Raw genomic sequence first — 27987 nt, forward strand, 5'->3', positions numbered from 1 at the left:
GGCTGAAGACCGTCTCCCCACCATGGTGGGAAGGGACAAAGGGTGGCCCTGGCAGATCCGGACGGGCAGGACTGGGTGTGTCCCATGAGAGCACCTCCTTCCTGGCCTTTCCTGTGGACTTTGTCCCACACCACCTGCCTGGGTTCCTTCCTTTAGTCACTTCCAGCTCCAGGCACAGCAGTTGGTGACTCCTTGGTGGGAGCCGTGTCCCACCCGGTCCTGATACTGCCGTCTTCTCTTTCACAGTCCTCCAGGCTTGGGCCAGCCTTGGGGGCAGCAGAGCTTCTGGGGTGAGTGTCGAGATCCTGTGTCCTGAGAGCGGTAGTCAGGGAGAGGGCTGGTCGGGGCAGGGCTGCCCGGGCAGGACACAGGATGCGGCCGGCCAGGCTGGGGCCAAGGTGTTCAGACCTGGACTTTGGGCTCGTGCTTTCTTCATGGTTGCGCCTTGCTCGCTGTCCCTTGGAGTCTTCATTTGGTTTTGCTTTTTTTGTTTGTTTGTTTTCACCTAATTTTTGCCAGACTTAAGCTAGTTTTGCTGCCTTTTGAAACTAGTGGAAGAATCATTTTATTCCTGGGGATAATTTGGGGCCTTTTGATCCCAACGTGAAGCCCTGCACATGGCTGCTTCATCAGGGGAAGGGTCTTTTCTGCTTTGGAGGAAAGGCTTTGGCAGGCAGGCTGACCTGGGAGTCTCCGGAGCTCTCGGCTCTCTGTAGCATCCTGGGGAGCTCAGACCATGGCTGCAGGGCTCTGGCCATAGCTTGCAGGCCATCTGGTTAGTGCTGCCCCCCAAACCCGGCCATTCCTCTCTAGTCCCCAGCAGGTATAGCCAGTGTCCACATAGACAGCACTGCCTCAGATCTGGGCTGGGACCACAACACTCACTCAGGGATCCCAGGGAACATGGCACCAGGTTTAGTAGGTTTAGTCGGGCATATGCAGTGTCCCTTACCCAGGTCAAGGCTCAGGCTGGGCCCATCTTAGCTGCCTGGGACACCCAGTCCTTTTATGAATCTGCCAGGGGAGGAGCAGCCAGGCTTGGGCTGGGGCCTGGATGGACGTGACATCGGGCACTGTGGCATTGTGTGCCTGTCTCTGTGTTGCAGCTGACATGGGCTCATTGCTCCTTCTCCAAGCCCTCTGAGGACATCAAAAGCGTGGACGCATCACTTTCCACCATCTTGCTGCCCACTGTCCCTCCATCCTGAGGCCTCCTAAGCACATGTGTGGGGTGGCAGGCACACTGCTGATAGCTGTGGATGCGGCCGTGACATCCTTCACCCCTGCCCCCATGGCATGCATGATCCATTAGGGAGGACCGTCTGCACAAAGGTAATCCATTGACTCAGACAGGGGGTTCATAGAAGAACAGGTGAGAGTGGCAGGGGGGGTATTCCTTGACCAGCTGAGGGTCAGCCAAGGGCAGGAAAGGGGCTGGGCACCCTCAGGGAATTGAAAGAAGCTCTCTGTGCCTGCAGTGCGGGGAGTGGGCTTGGAGAATATGGCAAGAGCTGAGGCTGGAGATGTAAGCAGGGGCCTTAAGTGTTGTTTAAGGAGCCTGAGTCTTATCTCCTGGGCAATTGGGAGCCACTACATAGTTTAAAGCAGGGCCTAACATACATATGTTTGAAATCTTTCTCTGGCTGAAGTCTCGAGGATGAATTGGAAGTAGAGGACCAACTAAAAAGTTGTTGCAGACATTAAGGTGGTGTCCTGGGTTAGGTGGGAGGTGATGGAGAGGAGAATAGGCTAGTGTTGACATATACCCAGGAAGCAAAACCATTGGGGCATGGTGCTTAATGCTTGATTGGATTGATCACATAGATGACTATGAGGAGGACTGACATATTTCAATCTATGAACGTGGTATACCCATCCATTTACTTATTTTTAATTTTTTAAAAATTTTTTTTTTTTTTGAGACAGGATCTCACTCTGTTTGTCCAGGCTGAAGTCCAGTGGCAGGATTTCAGCTCACTGCAGCCTCAACCTCCTGGGCTCAGGTGATTCTCCCACCTTAGCCTCCCGAGTAGCTGGGACTACAAGCACAGATCACCACACCTGGCTAATTTTTTGCATTTTTGTTTTTTAGTAGAAACAGGGTTTCGCTATGTTGCCCAGGCTAGTCTCAAACGCCTGGACTCCAACAATCCACCCACCTTGGCCTCCCGGAGTGCTGGGATTATAGGCTGGGGCCACTGTGCTGAACCCTGTCCATTTATTTGGATCTTCTTTAATTTCTCCCAGCAATATTTTGTAACTTCAAGCATACGTTTCCCACTTGTGCCTAGGTACTTTGTTTTCCAATGCTTGTAAATGGTATTGTATCTTTAGTTTTATTTTCCAATTGTTTTTTGCTAGTATATAGAAGTGCATTTTTTGGTATATTAATCTTGTATCCTGTAACCTTGATAATGCATTTATTAGTTCATAGTGTTTTTTGCTTCTTTTGTTCTTTTCTGGTAAATGCCTTAGGATTTTCTTTTTCTCCCGACTCCCCGCCTTCCTCCTCTTCTTTTTCTTCTGCCTTAGGATTTTCTTTTTCTTCTTTCTCCTCCTTCTCTTCCTCCTCCTCCTCCTCCTCTTCTTTCTTCTTTCTTCTTCTTCTTCTCTTTTTTGTTTTTAAATTGAGACAGGGGCTCACTCTGTTGCCCAGGCTGGAGTACAGTGATGCAATCTTAACTCACTGTAGTCTCAAACTCCTGGGCTCAAGTGATCCTCCCACCTCAGCTTCCCAAGTAGCCAGGACTACAGGTGTGCACCATCATGCCTGGCTAATTTTTATATGTTTTGTAGAGATTGGGTCTTGCTATGTTGCTCGGGCTGGTCTTGAACTCCTATCTTCAAGCGATCTTCTCACTTCAGCCTCCCCACATGTTGGGATTACAGGCCTGAGCTACTGTGCCAAGCTGAATTTTCTACATGCATGATTATGTCACATGTGACCATAGGTAATTTTACTTCTTCCTTTTCTATCTGCTTTTTTCCCTTGCCTTATTTCCTCTGGCTGGGACCTCCAATACCGTTTTTAATAGAAATGTGAGAGCCACTTCGTTTGTTTCTGAGTATAGTGAGAAAGTTTGGTCTTTTACCATTGCCCAGCTTGAAGTTTCCTATAGTTTATCTATAGGTGATCTTTATCACGTTGAGGAAGTTCTCTTCTCTTTCTAGTTTGCCGAGAGTTTCTATTATTCATGGATGTTGCATTTTGTCAAATATTTTTCTGCATCCATTGAGATAAATATATACATTTTACCATTTATTCTATTAATTGATGTTCTAATGCTAAAATAAACCTTTTATTTCTTGCATACTTTTTCATGATGTGTTATTTGTTTTATATATTGCTGGATTTGATTTGCTAATATTTTATTAAGGATTTTATGTCTATGTTTATGCATGATATTGGCCTGTAGTTTTCTTTTCTTGTAATATCTTTGTCCAGTTTTGGTACAGGGTAAAACTTGACTTAGAAAATGAGCTGGCCAGTGTTTCTCCTTTTTTCTGATGTGGTTAAGATTGGTATTATTTTATTCTTAAGTGTTTGATGGAATTCATCAGTAACACCATCTGGGTGAGGTATTTTCTTTGTAGAAAGGCTTCAAATTATGAATTCAACAACTTTAATAGATATAAGCTTGTTACATTTTATTTTTCTTGTGTAAATTTTGGCAAGTTGTGACTTTCAGTAGATGTTTTTCCATTTCATCAAGATGTCAAATGTAATTTCATGATGTTCTTACTAATATTCTTGTATTATTCTTCTGATGTCTGTAGGGTCTGAAGGGATGTCTCATCTTTTATTCCTGATATTAGTAATTTGTGGATTTTTTTTCTTTGATCAATCTAGCCAGAGCTTTCTCAATTTTTTTTTCTTTTCAAATAACCAATCTCCATTTTATTGATTTTCGTTTTTTTCTGCTAGTACATCAAATTTTCACTCTTTCTTATTTCTTCTGCTTACTTGGGTTTCATTTGTTCTTGGTGTTGTTGTTTTCTAGATTCTCAAAGTGGAATCTTAGGTAATGATTTTAGACCTTTCTTCTTTCCTAACATGAACACTGAGAGCTACAGATTTTCCTCTAAGCATCACACTAACCTTATCTCACAAAGACCGGAAAGTTGCATTTTTATCATCACTTAGTTCAAAGTATTTTCTTATGTCTCCTTGATTACTTCTTTGATCCCTGAGTTATTTAAATGTGTTGCTTAATTTTCAAATATTTGGGCATTCTTTGTGTGTCTTATACCTTGTTGCTATTGATTTCTAATTAAGCTCTGTTGTAGTTAGAGAACATATTCTGTATAACTTAAATCTTTTTAATTTTATGGAGGCTTAATTTATGGCCTAGCAGATGGACTATTTTGGAAAATGTTCAATGTGCACCTGAAAAGATTATATATTCTGCTGTTGTTGGGCATAGTGTTCTATAAACATCAGTTTGGATAAGATGATTGGTGTTGCTCAGGGCTATCATATTCTTACTAATTTTTGGTTTACTTGTTCTGTGAGTTACTGAGATGAGGGTGTCATAATAACCGATCACAATCATGAATTTGTCTGTTTATCCTTTCAGTTCTATCAGCTTCCTTCATTTTTTGGATTCTTTGTAATTAGGTACATACACATTTAGAATTGTTAGATATTCTTGATGAATTGACCCTTTTTTCATATGAAATATCCTTTTTTTTTTTTTGAGATGGAGTCTCGCTCTGTCAACCAGGCTAGAGTGCAGTGGCGCAATCTCAGCTCACTGCAACCTCCGCCTCCTGGGTTCAAGTGATTCTCCTGCCTCAGCCTCCTGAGTAGCTGGGATTACAGGTGCCCACCACTGCGCCTGGCTAATTTTTGTATTTTTAGTAGAGACGGGGTTTCACCATCTTGGCCAGGCTGGTCTCAAGCTCCTGACCTTGTGGTCTGCCCACCTCAGCCTCCCAAAGTGCTGGGATTACAGGCGTGAGCCAACACGCTGGTCCGTGAAATGTCCCTTTTTTTATTTTGCAATATTCCCTATACTAAAGTCTACTTTGATGTTAATATTTTTATTCCTGCTTTCTTATAATTAATGCTTGCATTTTATAAATTTTTCCATTCTTTTACATTGTTTTCATTCTTTTACTTTTAACTTTTGTTTATATTTAAAGTATATATCATATCAGGCAGACAGCATATTGTCATTTCTTGCTTTCTTTTCCCCTAAGACGAAGAGTCTCCTGTCACTCAGCCTGGAATACAGTGGTACCATCAGGGCTCACTGCAGCCTCAAACTCCTAGATTCAAGCAATCCTCCCATCTCAGCCTCCCAAGTAGCTAGGACTACAGGCATGTGGCACCACACGTGGCTAAGTTTTTAACTTTTTTTTTTCTTTTTTTGAGACAGTCTTGGTCTGTCACCCAGGCTGGAGTGCAGTGGCATGATCTCGGCTCACTGCAACCTCCACCTCCCTGGTTCAAGTGATTCTCCTGCCTCAGCCTCCCAAGTAGCTGGGACTACAGGCGCCCGCCACCACGCCCGGCTAATTTTTTTTTTTTTTAGTAGAGATGGGGCTTCACTGTGTTAGCCAGGATGGTCTTGATCTCCTGACCTCGTGATCTGCCTGTCTCGGCCACCCAAAGTGCTGGGGTTACAGGCATGAGCCACTGCACCCGGCCTGTCTTTTTGTTTTTTTGAGATGAGGTCTCACTGTGTCACCCAGGCTAGTGTGCAGTGGCATGAACTCTGCTCACTACAACCTCCACTTCCCAGGTTCAAGTGATTCTCATGCCTCAGCCTCCTGAGTAGCTGGGATTACAGGTGCGTGCCACTACGCCCAGCTGTGTTTTTTTGTTTGTTTGTTTTTGTTTTTGTTTTTTTTCGGTAGTTTTAGTAGAGATGGGGATTTCCCTATGTTGGTTAGGCTGGTCTCGAACTCCTGACCCCAAATGATCCACCCACCTCGGCCTCACAAAGTTCTGGGGTTACAGGCATGAGACACCGTGCCTGGCCAATAGTCTTTGTCTTTTAACTGGATTGTTTACCTCAGTCACATTTAATGTAATGGTTGATATGGTTGGGTTTGAACCTACCATCTGCTATTTGTTTCCTATTCATCTCCTCTGTTCTTTGTACTCATTTTCCCTCCTCTTTTTCTGCCTTCTTTTGGATTAGTTGACTATTTTGTATTTCACTTATCTCTTCTAGACTATTATACTTCCTTGTTTTATCATTTCATTAGCTGCAATAGGGTTTATGATATGCATATTTAACTTATTTATGATTGATTGGATGTAGGAGGAATGGGGGGAGAAAGATTCCAAAATGACACTGACATATGTGGCCTGGGTAACAAGAGGAACCACTCTCTGAGATGGAGACTTTGAAGGAAGATTAGTTTGGGGAGTGATGAAAGGGCTGGATGATGTGGTCAGTTTTGGACAAGTTGCATTTAAAGTGCTTCTGAGGCATCCAAGAGGAGATACCTGGTAGACATTTCTTTACAAGGTCCAGAGCTCAGGGCAGTGTCCGGGGCTGGAGCTGGCTCTAGGGGTGAAGGGCAGAGGGGTGACTGTTGAATGAATGGGAACAAGGTAGTCTGTGGATGCAGAACGTGCGATGGGACAGGAAGAGTCCAGGACCAAACCCTGAGGAGCCCCAACATTTTAGGGACCCAAATGCAGGACAGTAGAGATGAAAGGAGAGGCCAGCGAAGGAGCAAAACAAGGAAGCGTGTGTCATGGAGGCCACACGAGGAAGTGGCTTTGTGGTTACTTCTGGGACATTGGCAGAAGGATGTTTCAGGGCAAAGTGCAAGGGGGCCTCAAAGATCATCTTAAGTTCTGTTCCTTCACTTTCACGGTGGGTGCATTGGTGTTCATTTAGATCTACTCAACATCTTATTAAAACATTTTTTAAAAAGGACTAGGGACTGGGAGGCCGAGGCGGGCGGATCATGAGGTGAGGAGATCGAGACCGTCCTGGCTAGCACAGTGAAACCCCGTCTCTACTAAAAAAAAAAATTAGCCGGGTGTGGTGGCGGGCGCCTGTAGTCTCAGCTACTCGGGAGGCCGAGGCAGGAGAATGGCGTGAACCCGGGAGGCGGAGCTTGAAGTGAGTGGAGATCACGCCACTGCACTCCAGCCTGGGCGACAGAGCGAGACTCTGTCTCAAAAAAAAAAAAAAAAAAAAAAGGACTAGGGACTTACTGACTTGGCCAAAGGCTGCTGGTGGGTGCGTGGAGGTGCTGCCTGTCAGCTGTGCTCTGGGCTCTAGGGACATGGGAGTCCAAAGGGCTCTCACCTCCTCAGTGAGAGGTTCTGGTGGGCTGACCATGGTGGGATCCAGATTTCAGCAGGTGGACCCCGAGGGGGTGTGAGGAAATGGACTCTGTGAGTGGGAACTTCTCTTTCAGAGGAATTTGCAAGACTGGCCTGAGCCGCACACGGCTCTTCAGCAGGGCTTGGCAGCCAGCGGGGCCTCGGGAGGAGGCAAACAGCTGATCAAATCCGGGCTTCTCCAGAGGAAGAAGGGGAAGGGCAGGTCTGGGGAGGTCAGAGCGTGGGTGAGAACCGTGGCCATGGGTGGGATCCACATCCCAGCCTGCAGGGCCTCCTGGTGATGGTTCTCCAGAATTCTGCGATTGGAGCTGTGCTCACAGAGTCACTGTCCCCGACCTCCCAGGGGCGCGGACATAACCCAGCCTCAGCTGCAGACAGCAGAGACTCTGCACAACTGCAGAAGCTGAGCAATCAGCCTCATCAGTGGCAATTCCTGGAACTCCAACCTCAACTGTAACATGAGCTGTGGCAGACCTTCAGTAACCCCAGACAAGGAGTGAGGCAGAGCCTGATAGCTCAGGGACCAGCTGGGATGCTCAGTAAACAAGAGCTCCAGAAGATACGCGGAACAGGAGAAGGTGAAGTGTGGGGACAGCAGGCGCTGCAGGCCACCCAGAAGGAGGAGGAGAGGGGACAAGAAACACTGACCAGGCCTTCAAGATGAGGAGTGAGCAGAGAGGACAGCAGAACATGGGAAAACCTACCTGGCACTATGAGGGTGGAGAGGGGAGTGTTGGAGGGTGTGCATTTGAGTGCAAGTGTGTAAAAGAGGCCCTGGACAAGGAGTGAAGAATCTCATCAGATGGTTAAAGTGAGGGAGCACCAAGTAAACCATAATGAACCATAAGTCATGTGGACCCCAACCCTAATGCTAATCATAAACCTAAACCTCGTGTGGCCTGGAACCCTAACCTGAACCCAAATCCTAACCATAACCCTAACCATAACCATAAATCATGTGGACTCCAACCCTAATGCTAACCATAACCCTAAAATTCAGGCAGAACCGAACCTAACTCGAACCCAAACCCTAACGAAAACTCTAACCCTAACCCTAACTCAATTCAAACCTTAACCCTAAACCTAACCATAACACTAACTCCACCCTATTCCGAACCTTAAAGCTAATTAACAATGCCTCATATGGACCCGAACCCTAACCCTAACCGAAACCCTAACTCTAACCCTAACCCTAACTCAACCCAAACCTTAACCCTAACCATAACACTAACTCCAACTACAACCATAACCCTAACCAAAACTCTAACCCTAACCCTAACTCAACCCAAACCTTACCCCTAACCATAACACTAACTCCAACAACCATAACCCTAACCGAAACTCTAACCCTAACCCTAACTCAACCCAAACCTTAACCCTAACCATAACACCAACTACAACCCTAACCCTATCCCGAGCCCTAAACCTAATTAACAATGCCTCATGTGGGCCCTAACGCTAACCCTAACCATGCCTCATGTGGACCCGAACCCTAACCCCTAATTCCAACCCTAACCCTAAGCCTAACCCTAACACTAACCCTAGCCAAAACCCTAGCACTAACCCTAACTCCAACCCAAACCCTAATCCTAAGTCTCATGTTGACCATAACCTGGCTCAAACCCTAACCTGAACCCTAACCCTAAGCCTTGTATTGACCACAGCCTGGCTCTAACCCTAACCCTGACTCTAGTCCTCACTGTAATTCTACCTCTAGCCTTAATTCTAACCCTAACTCCAATCCTAACCCTAATCCAAATGCACCCTCTGATCCAAACAACTCTTCAGCCAATGTCAGACCTCACCTTAACCGTCACCTTCACGATCACCATTCCAGTTCTCCCTTCAGACTTCCCAGGGACTTGAGCCAGCCCCTGGCCCCCAGGCCTTGGTTTCCCCACCTGTGCAGCATGGATTTGGGGCTGAGGGTACAAAGACTGGCACCCACCTGAGCCGTTGGAACAGGCCTGCCCCTGGTCCTGAGGAGGACTCTGCTCTCCCGGTTCTCCCCTTGCCCATGTGGAAGGGGGCTCATCCCCCAGCATGGGTGCTTCCTGCCTGGTGTCCATCTCTGTGTGAGTTCCTTTAGGGAGGGACCGGGTAGGCGCAGTTGGCATGGCACCGCCATGCCCCTGGCTCGGGCTTATGCGGGCTGACAGTCCTGTCCCTCCACCCAGAGGCCCCTCCAATGATGTAGCTTATCAGAGTGTGTGTGTATGTGCACATGTGCATGTGTGTATGTTGTATGTGTATATATCTATGTATGTATATGTAGTATCTATATATATGTGTATGTGTATATATGTATATATGTGTGCATATATATGCATTTGTGTGTGCTTGTGTGTATGCATGTTTATGTGTGTATTTGTATATGTATCTATGTGTGTTTATATGCGAGTGTGCATGTGTGTATGCAGTGCTTGTGTGATGTGTCTGTTTTTATGTGTGTGCATGTGTATAGTATATGTGCATGTGTGTATGTTTACATGTGTCTGTGTGTGTATGTATATGCCTGTGCTTGTGTGTGTGTGTGTGTACACATACACGTGGACAGGCGAGGGAGAAGCTGTATTGCACCACCACCCAGGCCCTTCGAGCCCAAGTGCAGTCTCCCCAGGGCTCACGAGGCCCCAGCACGCTGCCCTCCTGCTCAGATGGTGCCCAAAAGCCCCTTGCCGAGTCCTCTCTAAGCCTCATGTAGACCCGTGAGTCCCTTCTCCGTCTGTTTCCCCTGCCTGTGATGCTTAGGGATCGTTCATTTCAGGGCCAGTGAGGAAACCCCATCTTCTCCTGCACTGCCGTGGAGTTAAAGGAGAAGGCCACAACACACTCCCACGTTTTCTACAGACTAGCAGTGGGGTGTTTGGCCACCTTTGGTTTTGACCTTTTATTTTGGAAATGTTCAGACTGAAATAAGCAGAAGTGTAATAACCCCTTGTGCCCATCACCCCACCTTTGGCAAGAGCCAAAGAGTCACAACTGATTGTGCTTCACCACACTCCATCTATGGGCTCAAAATGTTTTGAGATAAGTGCCAGACATCATATCCTTCTATCTACAAAAAATGCCACATGAATAAAAGATAAGGACTTTTAAAAACACATGACCACAGTAAGCATTATCACATCTAGCCAAGAAATGAACCTTTCCTTAATTGCAACAAACAGGAGTTAACTTTTACATTTTCTCTACTTCTACAATTTTTTAGAGAACAGTAAGGTAGACTTTATTCAACGGAGGCTACCACAATGGAGTTTTGCAGCAGGGAAGGGAGATGAGGCTCAATTCCCACCTTATACGTTTTTAAAAAGAGCTTATTTGGTTGAATTGGATCTGAGGAGTCTGGCTGCAGGCCAAAATCCTCTGTGTGATCATTCAGGCCCAACCGCAGTTGTTGCCAGCAGGCCCCACAGGAGAAGCAGCCCTCCTGCCCCAGACGGCACTTTCCACCCTTAGCCTCCTCCACGGTTCCCCAGGCCAGATCCTTTTGTTTGAGCCTTCTGTTTCGCCTGCTTGGTAGTGAGATCATCTCCCCATCTGCCTGATGTCATCCAGGGGGCAAAAATGGGACGTAGAGGAGCCGGCACCTTTTTCCTTCTGTTTGCCTCTTGCCTGCACTATTGCAGTCGTGAATACAGGCCTGAGGGTGACCTTCCATTGGGCTCGTGGTCCCAACCTCGACAGCAGTGGCTCCACAGGATGCATACGAGGTCCCCGCGGTCCCGGCCGACATACCTGTTGGGTTCTTAGTTGGCAGCTTCCTCCTCCGTCTCTCTATTCCCCTCCTAGGTCTCTTGCCCTGTGCAGCTTCCTGCAGACTGGACTTGCAAAGTCCAGCCTGTATGGCTGGAGTTCCCATGCCTGCCAATCTCCTGTCGACTGCGAGTCAGCTCCGATACTTCACCAGATTCAGGTGAGAGTTTTGGTTTTTTGACAAGCCCACTTCATCAGCAGGGCATGCATTTCTGCCAGGGGGCTCATGATATCTGGTGGTCTCTTTGTGAGGCCAGCAGCCACCAATGATCACGAATGTGGCAGGAAGCTGCCAAGAGACCCCCCAGTGGGTGATTCCTGCCTCCTGCTGTCATGCAATTCCCTCCTGAAGGGTGGCTGGACTTACTCACTTATAACAAACAATACAGTAAAAAAAAAAAAAAAAAAAAAAGTGATGTGTTGTCTCTTCCGTGATTAGGTTGAAAGAGACCATGGCATCTGTCTTGGATGCATACTCTCTCTCGCTGGCTCTGGGGTAGCCAGATGCCATGCTGTGTGCTGCCCTGTGAAGAGGCATGGCCAGTAAGGAACTGAGGGCAGGAACCAGGGAAGATTTGGGGTCCTCAGGCCAGCTGCCCATTGGGAATGAAACTCTACCAACAGCCACCTGGGGGAGCTGGAAGTGAATCTCATCTTAGCTGAGCCTTCTGATGAGACTGCAGCCCCAGCTGACACCTGGATTGCAGACTCATGAAAGACCTGAAACTCTACCAACAGCCACCTGGGGGAGCTGGAAGTGAATCTCCTCGTAGCTGAGCCTTCTGATGAGACTGCAGCCCCGGCTGACACCTGGATTGCAGACTCATGAAAGACCTGAAACTCTACCAACAGCCACCTGGGGGAGCTGGAAGTGAATCTCCTCGTAGCTGAGCCTTCTGATGAGACTGCAGCCCCGGCTGACACCTGGATTGCAGACTCATGAAAGACCCTGAGCAGAGGACCCAGTTTGGCAGAGCCCGAATTCCTGACCCACAGGAACTGGGAGATAAAACTCTGTGGTTTTAATCTTCTCATTTTAGAGGTAATTTTTTTGTGTAGCAATAGGTAGCTGACAATGCACAGCTAAAATAATAGATAATTAACCCTAATGCTAGTTTCATTCATCCATCAGGGTTTGCAAAGTAGTGATATTCTACTTCTGTCTTCCTTCATTATTTATTAGCAGAAATGTATCTATAAAAAGAAGTGTTCCTTCATTAACTCTTTGGTCATGTTGAGGTACAGTTTGCATAGGAAAGGCAGGGCAAATGCTTGATTCTTTCCCTTCCTTTCCTCATTTATAAAATAATGAACTGTTTTCCTGGCATCTTTCAACAATGACTAATGAGTTTTTAAAGTATAATTACAAGTTCATGAGTTTAAACATTTTTTGATGTTCCCATTAACATTATTATCCTTATTGATATTCAGATCTTCCTGTCTTTGTCCAGTGCCAGCCTATTTGATTTAACTCCTGAGCCCCTTTGGCACTGCCCTAATAATCTTTGACAGCTACTTTGTTCTCTGGCATAAGAAGACATTCCAGAATTACATTAGACATTTCCTAACCCAGATTGGACAGCATACACTTCTCTCCAAGAGCCCCTCTTCCTCTTCAAGAGAAATGGTACTTAGAGACCACAGTCTGGGTGTTAGGTGTGCTTGTGGTTACTGGATTTGTCGTCATTTTTAGGCCTTGTCAGTGGACAGAACTAAGGCTTTTTTTTTTGAAAGACACATTATGAGTACAAATGGATACTTTCTATTTAAATTCGGATTTACATAGTTTTTACTTAATCTTATTGATAATATATCTGCATCTCCTTTCTCCCACACCAAAAATCTCAAACAATACCCAACATAGTTATTCATTTGTTTTATCCTGTAACACACACAATATTTTCAAAATGACTTTACCAACACTACCATCAACAGTATATAACCACTGAAAATAGTTTAAAATTATTTTTAGATACTTTTAAAGTCCTTGGGTTGTGTCGACGTACAGACAAAACAGTGTTTTAAAATTATTTGGAAAATGATTACTTAAAATAATGAAAACTTCTTTTGCCATTCTTTCTTGTTGTCAGGCTATATGGATATACATCCAAATGACTGGATTTTAAAATCACTTGGAAGAGTTTGGTAGGTTCATATTGTCAACCCATAATGCAAGTCAGTTAGTTTCATTTTGCTTTCAATTTTAAGAATTCCTTTTACAAGTTAATTTAATTAAATTAAGTAATTACACAAACATTTGACATGAGTCTAAATCCAAATCTAGAAACCAAGATATGGTCACAGAAGTCCGTCCCTATCCCCATCCCATTTCCACCTGTTTCCTACAGGTAACAGTTTAATTTAAAGCAAATTTTGTAGCTTATCTTTCCATTTGTAAAACATACAGCTGATGGCTCCATCTAAAAACACATCAATTGTCTATATGTACATAAACATGCTTTTTTTCATTTACAAATACATTCTGGAGATGACCATATGACAGTGTGTAGAAATATTTCTCCCTCCTCTTTGCAAGTGCTCAGTGTCCTGTGGTGTGAACACGCTTCATTCAACCTGGGCCCTTGGGAGAGATGCTGAGTGGTTCCCGGGCTGTCCCCACTCCACACCGTGGCAGTGAAGAGCTGCTGAAGTACATGCTTCATAGTCCTTGCGTCTCTCTGTGAGTACATTCCTAGAAGTGGGGTTATTGGGTCAAAGAGTAAATGCATCTCTAATTTGGCTAAAGATATTGCCAAATCCACCTGCCTGGGGGTTTGTGCCACCTTAGAGATCAGTGATCAATGGGTGATATCCGAGGACGTCTTTCTATTGTGGTCAGACTCTTGGATTTTGACCTGACTAATGGAGGAGAAATGGTGTTGCAGTGAACTTTTGATTTGTGTTTCTCTTTTTATGATCGTTTTGAGCTTAATTTGTGTTTCTCTTTTTATGATCGTTTTGAGCATCGTTTCGTATCTTTAAGGAGCAATTTACATCTCCTCTGTGAGCGTCTACTCCCATCTCTATCAGCAGGCGTCTTGCCTGGCTCCGGAGGAAGTGTCTCTGAAGGCTGGTGGTCCCAGGATAGGGCAAAAGAACGGGAGTGAGAACTCTCCACACAGTGCTTCTTCTGGGGTTAAGGACCCTCTGCCTCAGTGGCTCCTGGGCGTGATTAAACTTGCCATTTCCTGGGCCCATCCTAGACAGGCTGCTGCAAGCCAGCCAGGCCGGGATCCTGCTGCCCCGGGGAGGACGTGGGGAAAATCCCTGCTGGAGGGACTGCCCCTTCCTTGTCCAGCCACTGGGTGTTTATGGTTCAGTTTAGGGCGGGGATGACAGCACACGACACACACTCCGCTCTCAAGAGTTACTCCTCCCTCCCCGCCAGACTCCCCCAACCGGAGGTCTCCCCAGAGTGGAGGACCTTCCAGCGGCTGGCAGGCGGCCTCAGGCAGGCAGTGGGGAGCCTCTGCAGGTTCCCGAGCCAGGAAGTGGCACTTAGGAGTGAGGATCTTAGGAGCGGGGCTCTTGGACAGGAGGGCGAGTGAGTTGGGAGGGCCTCAAGCGGGGGCCCGATGGCTCTCTCTGCTGAGAAGGGAGGGCCCTAGGGATGGGGACAGAGAGCTGGCAGTTGAAGGGCCAAGGAGCAGGCAGCTTCCCAGTCACAGAGCCTTGTGCAGAGGAAGGGGAAGGAGTCCGAGAGGGTGGCCCTGCTGTCCAGGGCCAAGAAAAGGGAAAGCCGCTGGAAATAGCAGAAACCTGGCTGGGGCAGCACCCAAGGCCCACCCCGAGGCCAGGTGGGGACCCCAGCGGGGCATCTGGCAGCAGTGGGTCCCCAGGAGCAGGCAGTGGGAGCCATCAGGGTGAGTGAGCTGGCGGGGGTGGCCCAGGGGCTGGGGTCACCTGCCCTCAGCCCAAGGAGCCTCTTCTGGCCTTTGGTGGCCAGGGCTGGGATCTCCCTGCTGGTGGCCAGATGCCTCGACACCCCATAGGCTGGGTGAAGGTGGGGCAGGAGTTCCAAGGCGTGGAGACGGCCCCTGAGTGCCCAGGGGCCTCCTGCTGCAGGTGGGCAGAGCTGGAGGCTCCACTGTGAGGGTGCCTGGTGAAGGGAGGCGTGGGCACGGGGGAGGCAGGGAAGGGCCCTGGGTGCGACTTGCAGCCCCTCAGACCCTCTCAGGACCCCTCCTGCCCCCATCGTGGTCCTCTCAGGGCCCCTCAGGATCCCTTCCAGACCCCTGGGACCCCGTGTCCCCTGCTCGTCCTGCGGTGGTGCCCAGCTCCTGCCAAGGGCCCTGCACTTGGGCTGTGGGGACCCCCTGTGGGGATGGGGCCATCACAGGAGGCTGAGCACAGGGCGGGGTCTTGGCTGGAGGGGACCTTAGGCCACAGGTGCTAGTCTTCTGCAGCCACCCCCCAGGACCCCTGCCCGCTACCTCCTCTGCCCCACAGCTGACAGGCTTTGCCCTCCCCTGCCCCTCTGTGGCCACACACTCAGTTCTCTATACACTTTTATTATGGAAAACATCAAATACACACAAAAGCAGGGCATCTAGGACAGAGACCCTGTGTCCTGGTCCCCAGCCCCTCACAGTGACACCGCCAGGCTTTAGGCAAGATCAGTGGGGGAGGGGAGTTTCCCAGCAGGACGTGCACTTCCAGACCTGGTTCTGTGAAGAGGGGAACAGAAAGTGCTGAGGGTGACAGGGAAACCTCGAGAAGAGGGAGGTGTACTCACATCCTCTCTCGGGGTCCACAACTGAGCCCCCACACAGAGGACCCCACTGGTCTGCCTGAGCTGCTGGGTGGGCAAGTGAGGCACTGGCCTCGGGGGCACAGCGCTTGAAGGGACACCAGAAAAACAGTCATAAAGATAAACCGTAATGTGTTGTTTTATTTCTTATTTATTTATTTATTTATTTTTGAGATGGAGTCTCCCTCTATCGCCCAGGCTGGAGTGCAGTGGCGTGATCTCGGCTCACCACAACCTCCGCCTCCCGGGTTCAAGCAATTCTCTTGTCTCAGCTTCCCGAGTAGCTGGGACTACAGGCACGCGCCACCACGCCCAGCTAATTTTTGTATTTTTAGTAGAGATGGGGTTTCACCATGTCGGCCAGGCTGGTCTTGAACTCCTGACCTCGTGATCCCCCTGCCTCGGCCTCTCAAAGTGCTGGGATTACAGATGTGAGCCACTGCACCCAGCCAATGTGTTGTTTTAGTAAACCAAAACTATGCAAAGGACGCATGAGGATCCAAGCGACTCATTTAGGATGGCAGCTTCACTGCAAAAGGAGTCTCGATTCAGACCTCAAGACATGCTTCGTGGGTCTCACTCAGGAAGGAAGTGGAGGCAAGTCAGAATGTGGTGAGAAGAGAGGGTTTATTGAAAGTTGCTCCATTACAGAGCAGGGTGTCGTCAGAAAGCAAGAGGGGGAACACCCCAGCTTTAACTTTTTCTCATACAGGGGTCTCGTCTGTGTAAAGACTAAGCTAAACTGTGCCTAACATGTATTATTCTATTGATTTAAAGAAAACTGTCTGTCACGGGGTCTTGCTCTGTTGCAACCAGGCTGGAGTGCAGTAGCACGATCTCAGCTCATTGCAATCTCTGCCTCCCAGGCTCAGGTGCTCCTCCCGCCTTAGCCTCCTGAGTAGCTGGGATTACAGGCATGCACCCCCATGCGTGGCTGATTTTTTTTTTTTTTACTTTTTGTAAAGATGGGGTCTTGCTATGTTGCCCAGGCTGGTCTCAAACTTCTGGGCTCAAGCCAACCTCCCACCTTGGCCTCCCAAAGTGCTGGGATTAGAGGCCTGAGCCACCGCGTCCGGCCAAGGGTAGTTGTCTGGAAAGCATATATTGTTCTGGATACCAGGGCACTTGGACACTTTGCTGTCATAGAAGTGTGTCCACGCAGGCGTCACTGGCTGCTGCTTTAGCTGTAAACATCGTATGACCATGGGCTGTGGCTGGCAGGTATGTGCCTCATTGGTCTCAAGGTGGAGCTGAACGTAAACGGCTTTTCTCTGGCTCTCCCAGGCTCCTGCTTCCCTGACATCGCCTCACAGACTTCCCTTCAAAGCAGGGCTGTCCAATCTTTTGGCTTCCCCGGGCCGCATTGGAATAAGAAGAATTGCCTTGGGCCAAACATGAAATACACTAACACTCACGATAGCTGATGAGCAAAAAAAGGTCTCTGCGTAAATCTCATAATGTTTTAAGAAAGTTTACAAATTTGTGTTGGGCCACATTCAAAGCCCGCAGCCCGAGTGTTGGACAAGCTTGCTGCAGAGGCTCCCCTAGATAGGGCTGCAGGGGTGGCGTCCGGCAGCTCTAGCTGGAGAAGCAGGAGGAGGGGCAGGAAGGAATCCTGTTCGGAGCTCCTCGCGTCACACATACAGCCCAGCGGGGTGAAGTGGGAGGGGCTGGCGCTGCTGCAGGGGGCTAACCTTGGGGGTGAGGGGGCAGCCTCGGAGAGGAAGCTGCCCAGGAGCAGAGGCTGGGGGCGGAGGGCCCCGGGCAGTGCCCCCGTGCCCACAGCAGGACCCTGGCTGCCAGTTCTCCGCAGAGGGCCAGGTGGTCTGAAGCTGCCCAGCAGGGAGAGAACAGGCCTGGCCTGGACTGGAAACCTGCCATCTGGCCTCTCGAACCTGGGGACTCCGGGTGTCCTCGAAGAAGGGCCTGAGCAGCAGCAGAGGACCCCAGGCGACCGTGCCTGAGCCGGGCGCCGACGACGACTGAGCACCTGATATGTCCCCGGCACTCGCAGCCCCGCGGCCGGAGTCGCTGTGGGTGAGCGGTCGTCGAGCTTCACAGAGGCCGGGCTCTGTGCCAGGGCCCCGACAGGGCAGGAAGCAGATAGAGTCCCACAAGCACAAGCCCAGTGCGCAGAAAGGGTTACTTAAAAAATAAGTTCTGTGATAAAATCAAACAGGGTGAAGGGCTGGAAACAGGTCATGAGGGCGCAAACAGGTCGTGAGGGCGCAAACAGGTCGTGAGGGCGCAAACAGGTCGTGAGGGCGCAAACAGGTCGTGAGGGCGCAAACAGGTCGTGAGGGCGCAAACAGATCGTGAGGGCGCAAACAGGTCGTGAGGGCGCAAACAGGTCGTGAGGGTGCAAACAGGTCGTGAGGGCGCAAACAGGTCGTGAGGGTGCAAACAGGTCGTGAGGGTGCAGCTTTGGGGAGAGAGGGGCCCTGGGGGTGAGCGGGGAGCTAGGAGAGAAACAGCGCTCTGGAGGGGCCCGGGCAAGGCCTGCCTGAGTGGGAGGGGGCAGAGCACGAGGGCCCAGGCTCCAGGCTGGGTGGGACTGCCCTGAAGTGCCTGCGGAGACAGCCAAGGGGCAGATGGAGAGAGGTAGGGGGTGGGCTGGGGACAGCGTTTCCTGTACACAGGTGGAACCTGGTGGCAAGGGGCCCTTCCCAGAGACAGTCAGAGTCTCTAAATGTCCAGTTTCTTCCCCAAGTCCACACAGCCCAGAAGAATCCGCTGGGACCATGTGGCCCTGCCCAGTGGGGCTTCCCTTCCAGTGTGTGAGGAGCACAGGTGCCAGGCCACGTCAGGGAGGCCAGGCCTGGTGGGGACGGGGTGCCCCAGGCCACTGCTGGGGAGGAGTGATGCCCAGCAGAGGGGGCACGGTGGAGTTCATGGCTGGCCTGGTGGTGGGGGGGGTGGGGGAGCTCTGCAGGGCCCTGGCTCTGGTGGGCTGGGTAGGCCTGCTTGGGGCACCATCTGATCTGCCAGAGGTGGAAGGAGCACTCCTGGGAGATGCCGTGCCCTGCACCTCCAGTCCCTGCTTGACGGCGGCCGGGCTTGGACTGATCAGGTGCCGTGCCTTCTGCTGACCCCAGAGGCCAGACCCTGTGGCCAGAGTGAGGGATGGATGAAATCCCAAATCTGAGCCTCCTGCCCGAGGATGAGGCCCCTCTCCAATGAACATCATGGCCCATGGAGACTGGGCAGGGAACCCAAGGGCGCACACTGGGGACTGGGCCTGGAGGGACAGCCGGGGAAGCAGGAGGAAGGGCAGGAAGGACAGCAGGAGGAAGCAGGAAGAAAGGGACAGGAACCAGGCCCGGGATGACAGCAGAGAAGGACCAATGCCCAGCCAGGGCTTCCTCACGTGCCTCTGGGTAGAGAGCCCTGGTCTGGCTCAGGAGGCCCAGGCACTGGTCTCAGACCTGCCACCACCTGTGTGACGCTGGGCCAAGCGCTTCCCTTCCCTGGGCGTCCGTTTCCACCGCTGTAAAGTGGGGAGGGGTGAAACTGAAGCTCTCCCCAGCCTATCCCAGCCGTTGAGGAGGGAGAGGCTGTGGTCAGGGGCTGTGGGGCCCACGTTGAGGAGACGAGGCTCCTGCCCTCAGGGTGGACAGGGCCCAGGAAGGGGGTGCTCTGCACCATGGGGGCGCAGCCTGGGCCTACGGGCTCCCCCACCATGAGCTCAGAAGGAAGATGTCCGCTGAGGAGTTGGGGGCCAGGGAGAATATTCTAGACCAGATAGGGGTGGTCTGGGTAGGCTTCTGAGGGGGTGGGCTTGGAGGAGGGGCCGGTGGCCAAGTCGGGGGGAAGCAGGGGAGGAGCCAGCCTGCCTGCGTGTGCCTCTCACCTGTGTGCATTGGCGTGTGCATGTGTGTGTGCATGTGTGCCAGCGTGTGTGTGTGTATTGGAAGGCGCCCACGGAGCGTGTCTGCATGAACCAGGATGAGTGTGCGTGCTGCACCCTGTCTTGGGGCTGGGCATGAGGCGCTGGGGAGGGCGAGCTGACCGCAGACCCTGGGAGGGCTGGGCCCTGGGAAGGTTTCCGAGATGACAGGGCAGAAGTGGGCTGGGGAGGAGGAAGGCTCCGTGGGCGGGGCTGGAGCGTCTCTGGTTTTGCTGTCTGTCTCTCACGCTGTTTCCAGAACAAATGTGTGCCCTCAGCAAGGATGCTGGCTCTTCAGAGGTGTCAGCACAGGCAGCCGGCACCCCACTTCCCTCCCAGAAATCCCCCACGCCCTCTAGCTGGGGCTGGTGCAGGAGCAGTGGGGAACTCCTGTTACCCCTGACCTGCTGCCGTCAGTCAGCCGCCCGCCCCCCCACCTTAAGGAGGGGCAGAGTCAGGGACCAGCCCTGAGGGGTGGCTCACCCCAGCTTCACTTCCCCCAGCCCTTCTCAGACAGCCACTGTGCAGGCTTTGGCAGCGGGGGTCACACACTCCACCCGGGAGGCCAAAGCTGCCTGCAGGTCAGTGCCGCCCACTGCCCTAGGGGCCTCCCAGCGGGGCAGGGGCATGGTGGGGGTCTCAGAGTGGGGTGAGGCTGTGATGGGGTCTCAGAGCAGGGTGAGGCTATGATGGGGTCTCAGAGTGGGGTGAGGCTGTGACGGGGGTTCTCAGAGCGAGGTGAGGCTGTGACAGGGTCTCAGAGCGGGGTGAGGCTGTGATGGGGGTCTCAGAGCAGGGTGAGGCTGTGATGGGGTCTCAGAGTGGGGTGAGGCTGTGATGGGTGTCTCAGAGTGGGGTGAGGCTGTGATGGGTGTCTCAGAGTGGGGTGAGGCTGTGATGGGGGTCTCAGAGTGGGGTGAGGCTCTGATGGGGTCTCAGAGTGGGGTGAGGCTGTGATGGGTTCTCAGAGCAGGGTGAGGCTGTGATGGGTTCTCAGAGCAGGGTGAGGCTGTGATGGGGTCTCAGAGTGGGGTGAGGCTGTGATGGGGTCTCAGAGTGGGGTGAGGCTGTGATGGGGGTCTCAGAGTGGGGTGAGGCTGTGACGGGGTCTCAGAGCGGGGTGAGGCTGTGATGGGGGTCTCAGAGCGGGGTGAGGCTGTGATGGGGGTCTCAGAGCGGGGTGAGGCTGTGATGGGGTCTCAGAGCGGGGTGAGGCTGTGACGGGGTCTCAGAGTGGGGTGAGGCTGTGATGGGGGTCTCAGAGTGGGGTGAGGCTGTGATGGGGGTCTCAGAGCGGGGTGAGGCTGTGATGGGGTCTCAGAGCGGGGTGAGGCTGTGACGGGGTCTCAGAGTGGGGTGAGGCTGTGACGGGGTCTCAGAGTGGGGTGAGGCTCTGATGGGGTCTCAGAGTGGGGTGAGGCTGTGATGGGGTCTCAGAGTGGGGTGAGGCTGTGATGGGGAGTCTCAGTGAGGTGAGGCTGTGTTGGGGTCTCAGGTGGGCTGAGGCTGTTGGGGTCTCAGGGGTGGCTGAGGCTGATGAAGACTTGGAGCCTGTGTCTGGGTAGCAGCTTGTTGGAGTGTGGGATGTGACATTTAAAAACAAGAATGAAGAATACCCCGTGCTGTGGCCCCGAGGTGAGCAGCTACTTTGGTGAACTCGTGTCACTCACAGCCCCATCCTGGGTCCTGGGGTGTGGTGTGCTGTGTGGGGCCCAGGCCCAGTGGGGTCACAGGTACGGGGGACTCTGGTGCCTGGGCCACAGGGATCTGCACCTCACTGCGTGCCCCCACGTCTTCAGCAGTGGTTGGGGCCTGTGGTCTCAATCCCAGGCCAGCCAGGCACTCTGGGGTCTGGGCGGGTCCCGGGTCCAGACAGGGGGAAGGGCTGGGGAGGGGCTCTGGTGTGGCTGGATCGCCCGTCTATGGCCAGGTTTCTCTCCTGGATCACTCAGTGCAGAATCAAAGGGCACTTTTCTGCTTTTGTGTGCAGAAGCCGAGGGTGACCTTGTCATCAGAAGGGGAAGCGGGGCCTCAGAGGCGTGCTGCTGGCTCCAATCCCCAAAGCCTCCTGGGCAGGAAGTGGAAGGGCCCCATCCCCACGGTCCCCGGCAGCGGGAGCTCCCTGAGGCTGATGGTGCTGGTGTCTGTCGAGGAAGACAGGCCTGAGGAGCTGAGGCGGGAGGCCAGCTACGGTCCACGGCCTGGACACAGATTCCTGTGCGGGACTGGGGCAGTAGGTGGGCATCTGTGCTGGCCATGTTAGCTCCCAGGGGCCCCATGCCATCTGGGCTAAAGCCTGGGCCTTGATTTCCTGAACTTTTCTGGGAGGCACTCCACGGGCGAGACAAGGACCCATGAACAGGGCACTTCTTCGAAGCCTACGTGCACCTCGAAACTCTTGCAACATTTGCATTTTTCTCCCTAATAGTTCAGTGTTTGTTTTATTATAAACAGGAAAATTTAAATGTTGTAGTTAGAGTTTTTTTCTTCTTCTTAGAGATGGGGTTTCACTCTGTCTCCTAAGGCTGGAGTGCAGTGGTGGGATCATAGCTCACTTCAGCCTCAACCTCCTGGGCTCAAGCCGTCTTCCTGCCTCAGCCTCCCGAGTAGCACGCATCACCAGCCCAGCTAATTTTCTGTCTTTTTTTTTTTTTTTTTTTTTTTTTTTGTAGAGACGGGGTCTCCCTGTGATGCCCAGGTTGTTCTTAAACTTCTGGCCTCAAGTCATCCTCCTGTCTCAGCCTCCCAAAGTGTTGGGATTACAGGCATGAGCCACCGTGCCTGCCTGCAGTTAAACATTCCCCCACAAAATACTGGGCCACACCGAGGCTAGTATGAAAGTTGCAGCCCTGGGTATGTGTGACCTGAGAGCCCCTTGGCAGCCATGGGGAGCGATGGGGGAAGCTGGGGCAATGGGAAGGGGTCTAGGCACACGAGCCCTCGGGTCCTCACCTCCCACGAGGCAGGGTCCCAGGCTGCCTCTACTCAAGGTGGGGCAGCAAAAGAATCGCCCTCTAGCTGTGCAGACCCCCTCCCCCTCCAGGTCTGCACACCGCCCAAGGCTGGCCCTGGACTTCTGGTGGATTCAAGTACTCAGGTGGGGAGAGTAGGAGGCCAGTCGCACGGAGCCCTCCCCAACGCACAGTGCCTGCCCAGCTCAGGTGCCTCTGAGGTGTAGATTCTGAGCAGGTTCTGGGATCTCCTGGCCCCCAGCGGGGGCTGCCACAGGAGTATAGGCCCAACAGGAAGGGAAGATCCCAGCGATTGGTTCCAGTGGGTTCTGGGGATGTCCTCGGAGCCTGGCCTGGCTCAGGGTCCCTCCAAAAGTCCCTGGAACGAGGGTGAAGTGTTGCTCATGAATCAGAGAGAAAGCAAGCAGGACCCTCAAGAAGGGAGGAGAGAGACCACTGGGCGTGCAGCACTTTGCACTCGGGGGAAGGGCTCCTGAAACTTGGAAGTCAGCAAATATCTGCTGTACTTCACCAGAGGTGGGATCTAAGGAGACAGAATGAAGCCAGGGGGCAGAATGTTTCGTTTCTGTCTGAAACCTGTGCCCTCCATCCCTCATGGACTGGGGACCTGGAGTTCCCGGGGACCACCGTGGGGAAATGCGTCCCAGCACTAATGGTCCCCAGCAGCTGCAGTCACGGGGTTTGGGCGCTCTCCCCTCCTGATTTGGGGGACCTTTTGTGCTCCTCTGGGCAGAGGGAGGAGGCAGAGGGAGGAGGAAGGCCCTTCGCTGTGGGCTGAGTCCTTCCCACCTTCCATACCAGCCCAGCAGGAAGCCACTGCAGGATGCCCCAGAGGACAGCCTGATGGTTGGGGGAGAGGCTTCTCCCGCCCTCACCCCTCCGGGTTCTTCCTGGACCCACTGAGTAACCCAGGTGGTGGGACGTGTGGCTGTGAGTCCTGGACTCTGGGCGCTCACCAGCAGCTCCGTCTCACACCTGCCTGCGTGTGACACCAGCACCCCTTATGATGAGGAAACAAGTTTGCCCAGCTGCAGGGGTGGCCGAGTCAGGATGACTCTAGCCCGTGTCCTGGACACCAGACCCTGCCCAGGTCCAGCCGGGGCTGGTCTCAGCCTTCCTGGGCTATGTCGCGGAGGGTGTTGGGGACAGCGAGAGGCTGGCGTGGACAGTGGAGGGGTGACTTTGTGGGTGGTCCTGATAGTGACGGAGAGGAGGATACTCAGCTCCACCCCTGGGCGGCCCCTGAGCAGCACGACTGGGCCTGAAGGGGCAGGGCTGCCGTCACAGGCTCTGGCCCCTGGGAGCTCAAGGGGTGAATCCCTGATCCCAGGTGTGGGACTGGGATGGGGCCTCAGGCTGATGCAGGCAGGACCTCCAGAGCTCAGGACTGGGTGGGTGGGCTCACAGGGAGGTAGGGGCAGGCCAGAGTCCCAGCTGTCCTGGACTCTGCTGTGGGGAAGGGCTGATGCAGGTGTGGAGTCAAATGTGGGTGCCTCCTGCAGCCGGGTGCCAGGAGGGGTGGAGGGGCCACCCTGGGCTTTGTCCGGGAGCCTGGTCTTCCCGTCCTTGGGCTGACAGGTGCTGCTGCCTCTGAGCCCTCCCTGCTAAGAGCTGTGTGCTGGGTAAGGCTGGTGGCCCTTTGGGCTCCCTGTCCAGGATTTGCGCTCTGGAGGGTAGGGCTTGCTGGGCTGGGGACTGGAGGGGAACGTGGAGCTCCTTCTGCCTCCTTTCCTGCCCCATGACAGCAGGCAGATCCCAGGAGAGAAGAGCTCAGGAGATGGGAAGAGGATCTGTCCAGGGGTTAGACCTCAAGGGTGACTTGGAGTTCTTTACGGCACCCATGCTTTCTTTGAGGAGTTTTGTGTTTGTGGGTGTGGGGTCGGGGCTCACCTCCTCCCACATCCCTGCCCAGAGGTGGGCAGAGTGGGGGCAGTGCCTTGCTCCCCCTGCTCACTCTCTGCTGACCTCCGGCTCCCTGTGCTGCCCCAGGACCATGAATGGCACCTACAACACCTGTGGCTCCAGCGACCTCACCTGGCCCCCAGCGATCAAGCTGGGCTTCTACGCCTACTTGGGCGTCCTGCTGGTGCTAGGCCTGCTGCTCAACAGCCTGGCGCTCTGGGTGTTCTGCTGCCGCATGCAGCAGTGGACGGAGACCCGCATCTACATGACCAACCTGGCGGTGGCCGACCTCTGCCTGCTGTGCACCTTGCCCTTCGTGCTGCACTCCCTGCGAGACACCTCAGACACGCCGCTGTGCCAGCTCTCCCAGGGCATCTACCTGACCAACAGGTACATGAGCATCAGCCTGGTCACGGCCATCGCCGTGGACCGCTATGTGGCCGTGCGGCACCCGCTGCGTGCCCGCGGGCTGCGGTCCCCCAGGCAGGCTGCGGCCGTGTGCGCGGTCCTCTGGGTGCTGGTCATCGGCTCCCTGGTGGCTCGCTGGCTCCTGGGGATTCAGGAGGGCGGCTTCTGCTTCAGGAGCACCCGGCACAATTTCAACTCCATGGCGTTCCCGCTGCTGGGATTCTACCTGCCCCTGGCCGTGGTGGTCTTCTGCTCCCTGAAGGTGGTGACTGCCCTGGCCCAGAGGCCACCCACCGACGTGGGGCAGGCAGAGGCCACCCGCAAGGCTGCCCGCATGGTCTGGGCCAACCTCCTGGTGTTCGTGGTCTGCTTCCTGCCCCTGCACGTGGGGCTGACAGTGCGCCTCGCAGTGGGCTGGAACGCCTGTGCCCTCCTGGAGACGATCCGTCGCGCCCTGTACATAACCAGCAAGCTCTCAGATGCCAACTGCTGCCTGGACGCCATCTGCTACTACTACATGGCCAAGGAGTTCCAGGAGGCGTCTGCACTGGCCGTGGCTCCCAGTGCTAAGGCCCACAAAAGCCAGGACTCTCTGTGCGTGACCCTCGCCTAAGAGGCGTGCTGTGGGCGCTGTGGGCCAGGTCTCGGGGGCTCCGGGAGGTGCTGCCTGCCAGGGGAAGCTGGAACCAGTAGCAAGGAGCCCGAGATCAGCCCTGAACTCACTGTGTATTCTCTTGGAGCCTTGGGTGGGCAGGGACGGCCCAGGTACCTGCTCTCTTGGGAAGAGAGAGGGACAGGGACAAGGGCAAGAGGACTGAGGCCAGAGCAAGGCCAATGTCAGAGACCCCCGGGATGGGGCCTCACACTTGCCACCCCCAGAACCAGCTCACCTGGCCAGAGTGGGTTCCTGCTGGCCAGGGTGCAGCCTTGATGACACCTGCCGCTGCCCCTCGGGGCTGGAATAAAACTCCCCACCCAGAGTCAGTCCTAGTGGGGCCCTCTGTGTTTCGCACTCGTGTGGTGGGAGGCAGGGAGGGAGCGCGTGGCTCAGAGGGCTGGCGGACATCTTCCAGGGACCCTTCGGGGCTCTTCACTTTGAGGTCCCCCTTGGACCCTTTCACCCCTTCCCACCCCCACCCACCTGGAGCGTGAGCAGGGGCTGTTGGAAGCTCCTGGCAGGACCACAGTAGAGGCCCCCAGCCCAGGTTTCCTTGCTCAAGACAGGGCTGGGAGCAGCTGATCTCCATGTAGGGGCTGCACAGCGGTGCAAGGGGGGGTGACCAAGGTCAAGCAGGTGAGGGTGGGTTGGGGTGGGTGGCAGTGAAGGGGGTGGCCAGGGTCTGTCAAGGAACCCAGCCCTCTTCTCCTTCCTTCAGGGAAAGGCTGGAAACCATGTCTGGCAGGGGCAGGGGTTGGGTGCCCACTCAGGTAAAGGCACGATGTCCTGCTGGTTTCTGCCTCTCCTGTACTCCTGCATGGAGGGCATCTCGAAACCCAAGCTGGAAGGACAGGGCACTCCAGAGACCTCCTGTGAGTGTGGGCCAGCACGGCCTGGGCTCAAACCCCATCCTGTCATCCCATATTGCATGTCCACAGGCACCGCCCCACCCTGTTCCATGTTCCACAGGACTGGAGAGAGATGGCAGTCATGTTCTGGCAGGGACATGGCACAAGCATGCGGCTGATGGCATCTCACAGGACCCAGGCTCCGGAGGGCCCATGCCCAGGAGAGCCCCATAAGGGCTCTGTGCCTAAAAGGGTGCATGCCCAGGTGGGCCCATGCCCAGGAAGGTCCATGCCCAGGATGGTCCATGAGCAGGAGGGCCTCATTCCCAGGAGGGTCCCGTGCCCAGGAGGGCTCTATGCCCAAAAGGGTCCCATGTCCGGGAGGGTCCATACGCAAGGGTGTCCATGCCTGGTTGGGGGGGGTCTATGTCCAGGAGGGTCCCATGCCTGGAAGGGTCCATGCTCAGGAGGGTTCATGCCCAGGAGAGTTTATGCCCTGGAGGGCCCCATGCCCGGGAGAGTCACGTGCACAGAGGGCCCTGTGCTCAGGAGGATACATGTCCAGGAGTGTCCCTGTCCAGGAGGCTCCATGCCCAGGAGGCTCCATGTCAAGAAAGATTCATGCCTAGGAGGGTTCATGCCCAGGAGTGTCCCTGCCTAGGAAGATCCATTACCAGAAGGGCCCATGTCAAGGAGCGTTCATGCCCAGGAAGGTCCAGCCCAGGAGGGTCCATGTCAAGGAGGTTCCATGCCCAGGAGGGTCCATGCTGAGGTGGGTCCATGCCCAGGAGGGTTCATGTCCAGAAAGGTCCATGCCTAGGAGGGCCCATACACAACAGAGCCCTGTGCCCAGGAAGGACCATGTCAAGGAGAACCCCATGCCCATGAGGGTCCATGCCCAGTAAGGGCCATGCCCATGAGATCCTCATGCCCAGGAAGGCCCATGCCCAGGAGGGTCCATGCCCAGGCCAGTTCATGCACAGGAGGGCCCCATGCCTAAAAGTGTCCATGCCCAGGAAGGTCCATGTCCAGAAGAGTCCATACCCAGGAGGGCTGATATGGTTAGGCTTTGTGTCTCCACCCAAATCTCATCTTGAATTGTAATCCCTATAATAACCATAGTCCCCATGTGTCAAGGGAGAGACCAGGTGGAGGCAATTGGATCATGGGGGCTGTTTCCCACATGCTGTTCTCATGATAGTGAGTGAGTTCTCATGAGATCTGATGGTTTTATAAGGGGCTCTTCCCTTCACTTCTCCTTCCTACTGTCTTATGAAGAAGGTTCCTTGCTTCCCCTTCACCTTCTGCCATGATTGTAAGTTTCCTGAGGCCTCCCTAGCCATGCTGAAGTGTGAGTCAATTAAACCTCTTTCCTTTAAAATTACCCAGTCTTGGGCAGTTCTTTATAACAGTATGAAAACAGACGAATGCAGTAAATTGGTACCACAGAGAGTGGGGTGCTGCTGTAAAGATACCCAAAAATGTCGAAGCA

The 27987-nt window shown here is 53.1% G+C and overlaps 1 protein-coding gene across 4 annotated transcripts, besides 6 other annotated features; it reads left to right on the forward strand.

Moving 5' to 3' along the window:
- The first annotated feature begins 149 nt into the window (after positions 1-149).
- On the forward strand, positions 150-27879 carry GPR35 (G protein-coupled receptor 35). Of its 4 annotated transcripts, none has more exons than NM_001394730.1 (6): positions 150-290; positions 1107-1332; positions 11108-11231; positions 11696-12113; positions 13608-13751; positions 24669-27879. In NM_001394730.1, exons 5-6 carry the CDS (start codon positions 13663-13665, stop codon positions 25600-25602), a joined length of 1023 nt encoding a protein of 340 aa, NP_001381659.1. In that variant the 5' UTR covers positions 150-290; positions 1107-1332; positions 11108-11231; positions 11696-12113; positions 13608-13662; the 3' UTR covers positions 25603-27879. The 4 variants fall into 4 exon arrangements, with proteins under 4 accessions (NP_001381659.1, NP_001182310.1, NP_001182311.1 ...); NM_001195381.3 differs by having other exon boundaries at positions 11810-12113; NM_001195382.3 differs by having other exon boundaries at positions 11924-12113.
- Positions 16274-16333: an enhancer, noted in NCBI's record as "active region_17407". NCBI's record gives its function as "activates an Ori minimal core promoter by ATAC-STARR-seq in GM12878 lymphoblastoid cells {active_cell/tissue: GM12878}" and the evidence as "EXISTENCE:reporter gene assay evidence [ECO:0000049][PMID:35858748]".
- Positions 16354-16493: an enhancer, noted in NCBI's record as "active region_17408". NCBI's record gives its function as "activates an Ori minimal core promoter by ATAC-STARR-seq in GM12878 lymphoblastoid cells {active_cell/tissue: GM12878}" and the evidence as "EXISTENCE:reporter gene assay evidence [ECO:0000049][PMID:35858748]".
- Positions 19397-19546: an enhancer, noted in NCBI's record as "active region_17409". NCBI's record gives its function as "activates an Ori minimal core promoter by ATAC-STARR-seq in GM12878 lymphoblastoid cells {active_cell/tissue: GM12878}" and the evidence as "EXISTENCE:reporter gene assay evidence [ECO:0000049][PMID:35858748]".
- Positions 20154-20660: an enhancer, noted in NCBI's record as "H3K4me1 hESC enhancer chr2:241564851-241565357 (GRCh37/hg19 assembly coordinates)". NCBI's record gives its function as "activates a minimal SCP1, AML or CMV promoter by ChIP-STARR-seq in naive H9 embryonic stem cells {active_cell/tissue: H9 hESC(naive)}" and the evidence as "EXISTENCE:reporter gene assay evidence [ECO:0000049][PMID:30033119]".
- Positions 24832-25126: a silencer, noted in NCBI's record as "tiled region #3769; HepG2 Repressive DNase matched - State 17:Gen3', and K562 Repressive non-DNase unmatched - State 23:Low". NCBI's record gives its function as "represses a minimal TATA promoter and a strong SV40 promoter by Sharpr-MPRA in HepG2 and K562 cells {active_cell/tissue: HepG2 | K562}" and the evidence as "EXISTENCE:reporter gene assay evidence [ECO:0000049][PMID:27701403]".
- Positions 26718-27218: an enhancer, noted in NCBI's record as "H3K4me1 hESC enhancer chr2:241571415-241571915 (GRCh37/hg19 assembly coordinates)". NCBI's record gives its function as "activates a minimal SCP1, AML or CMV promoter by ChIP-STARR-seq in primed H9 embryonic stem cells {active_cell/tissue: H9 hESC(primed)}" and the evidence as "EXISTENCE:reporter gene assay evidence [ECO:0000049][PMID:30033119]".
- Positions 27880-27987: the final 108 nt, after the last annotated feature.

This window comes from Homo sapiens, chromosome 2 (assembly GCF_000001405.40).
Source record: "Homo sapiens chromosome 2, GRCh38.p14 Primary Assembly".
Classification (NCBI taxonomy): Eukaryota; Metazoa; Chordata; class Mammalia; order Primates; family Hominidae; genus Homo; species Homo sapiens.

Excerpts from the sequence above, each read along its gene's own strand:
- GPR35 (NM_001394730.1), top strand. The coding sequence starts at position 13,663 with ATGCTGAGTGGTTCCCGGGCTGTCCCCACTCCACACCGTGGCAGTGAA. Across the intron at positions 13,752-24,668 it reads CATAGTCCTTGCGTCTCTCT|GACCATGAATGGCACCTACA; the intron begins GTGAGTACATTC and ends GTGCTGCCCCAG.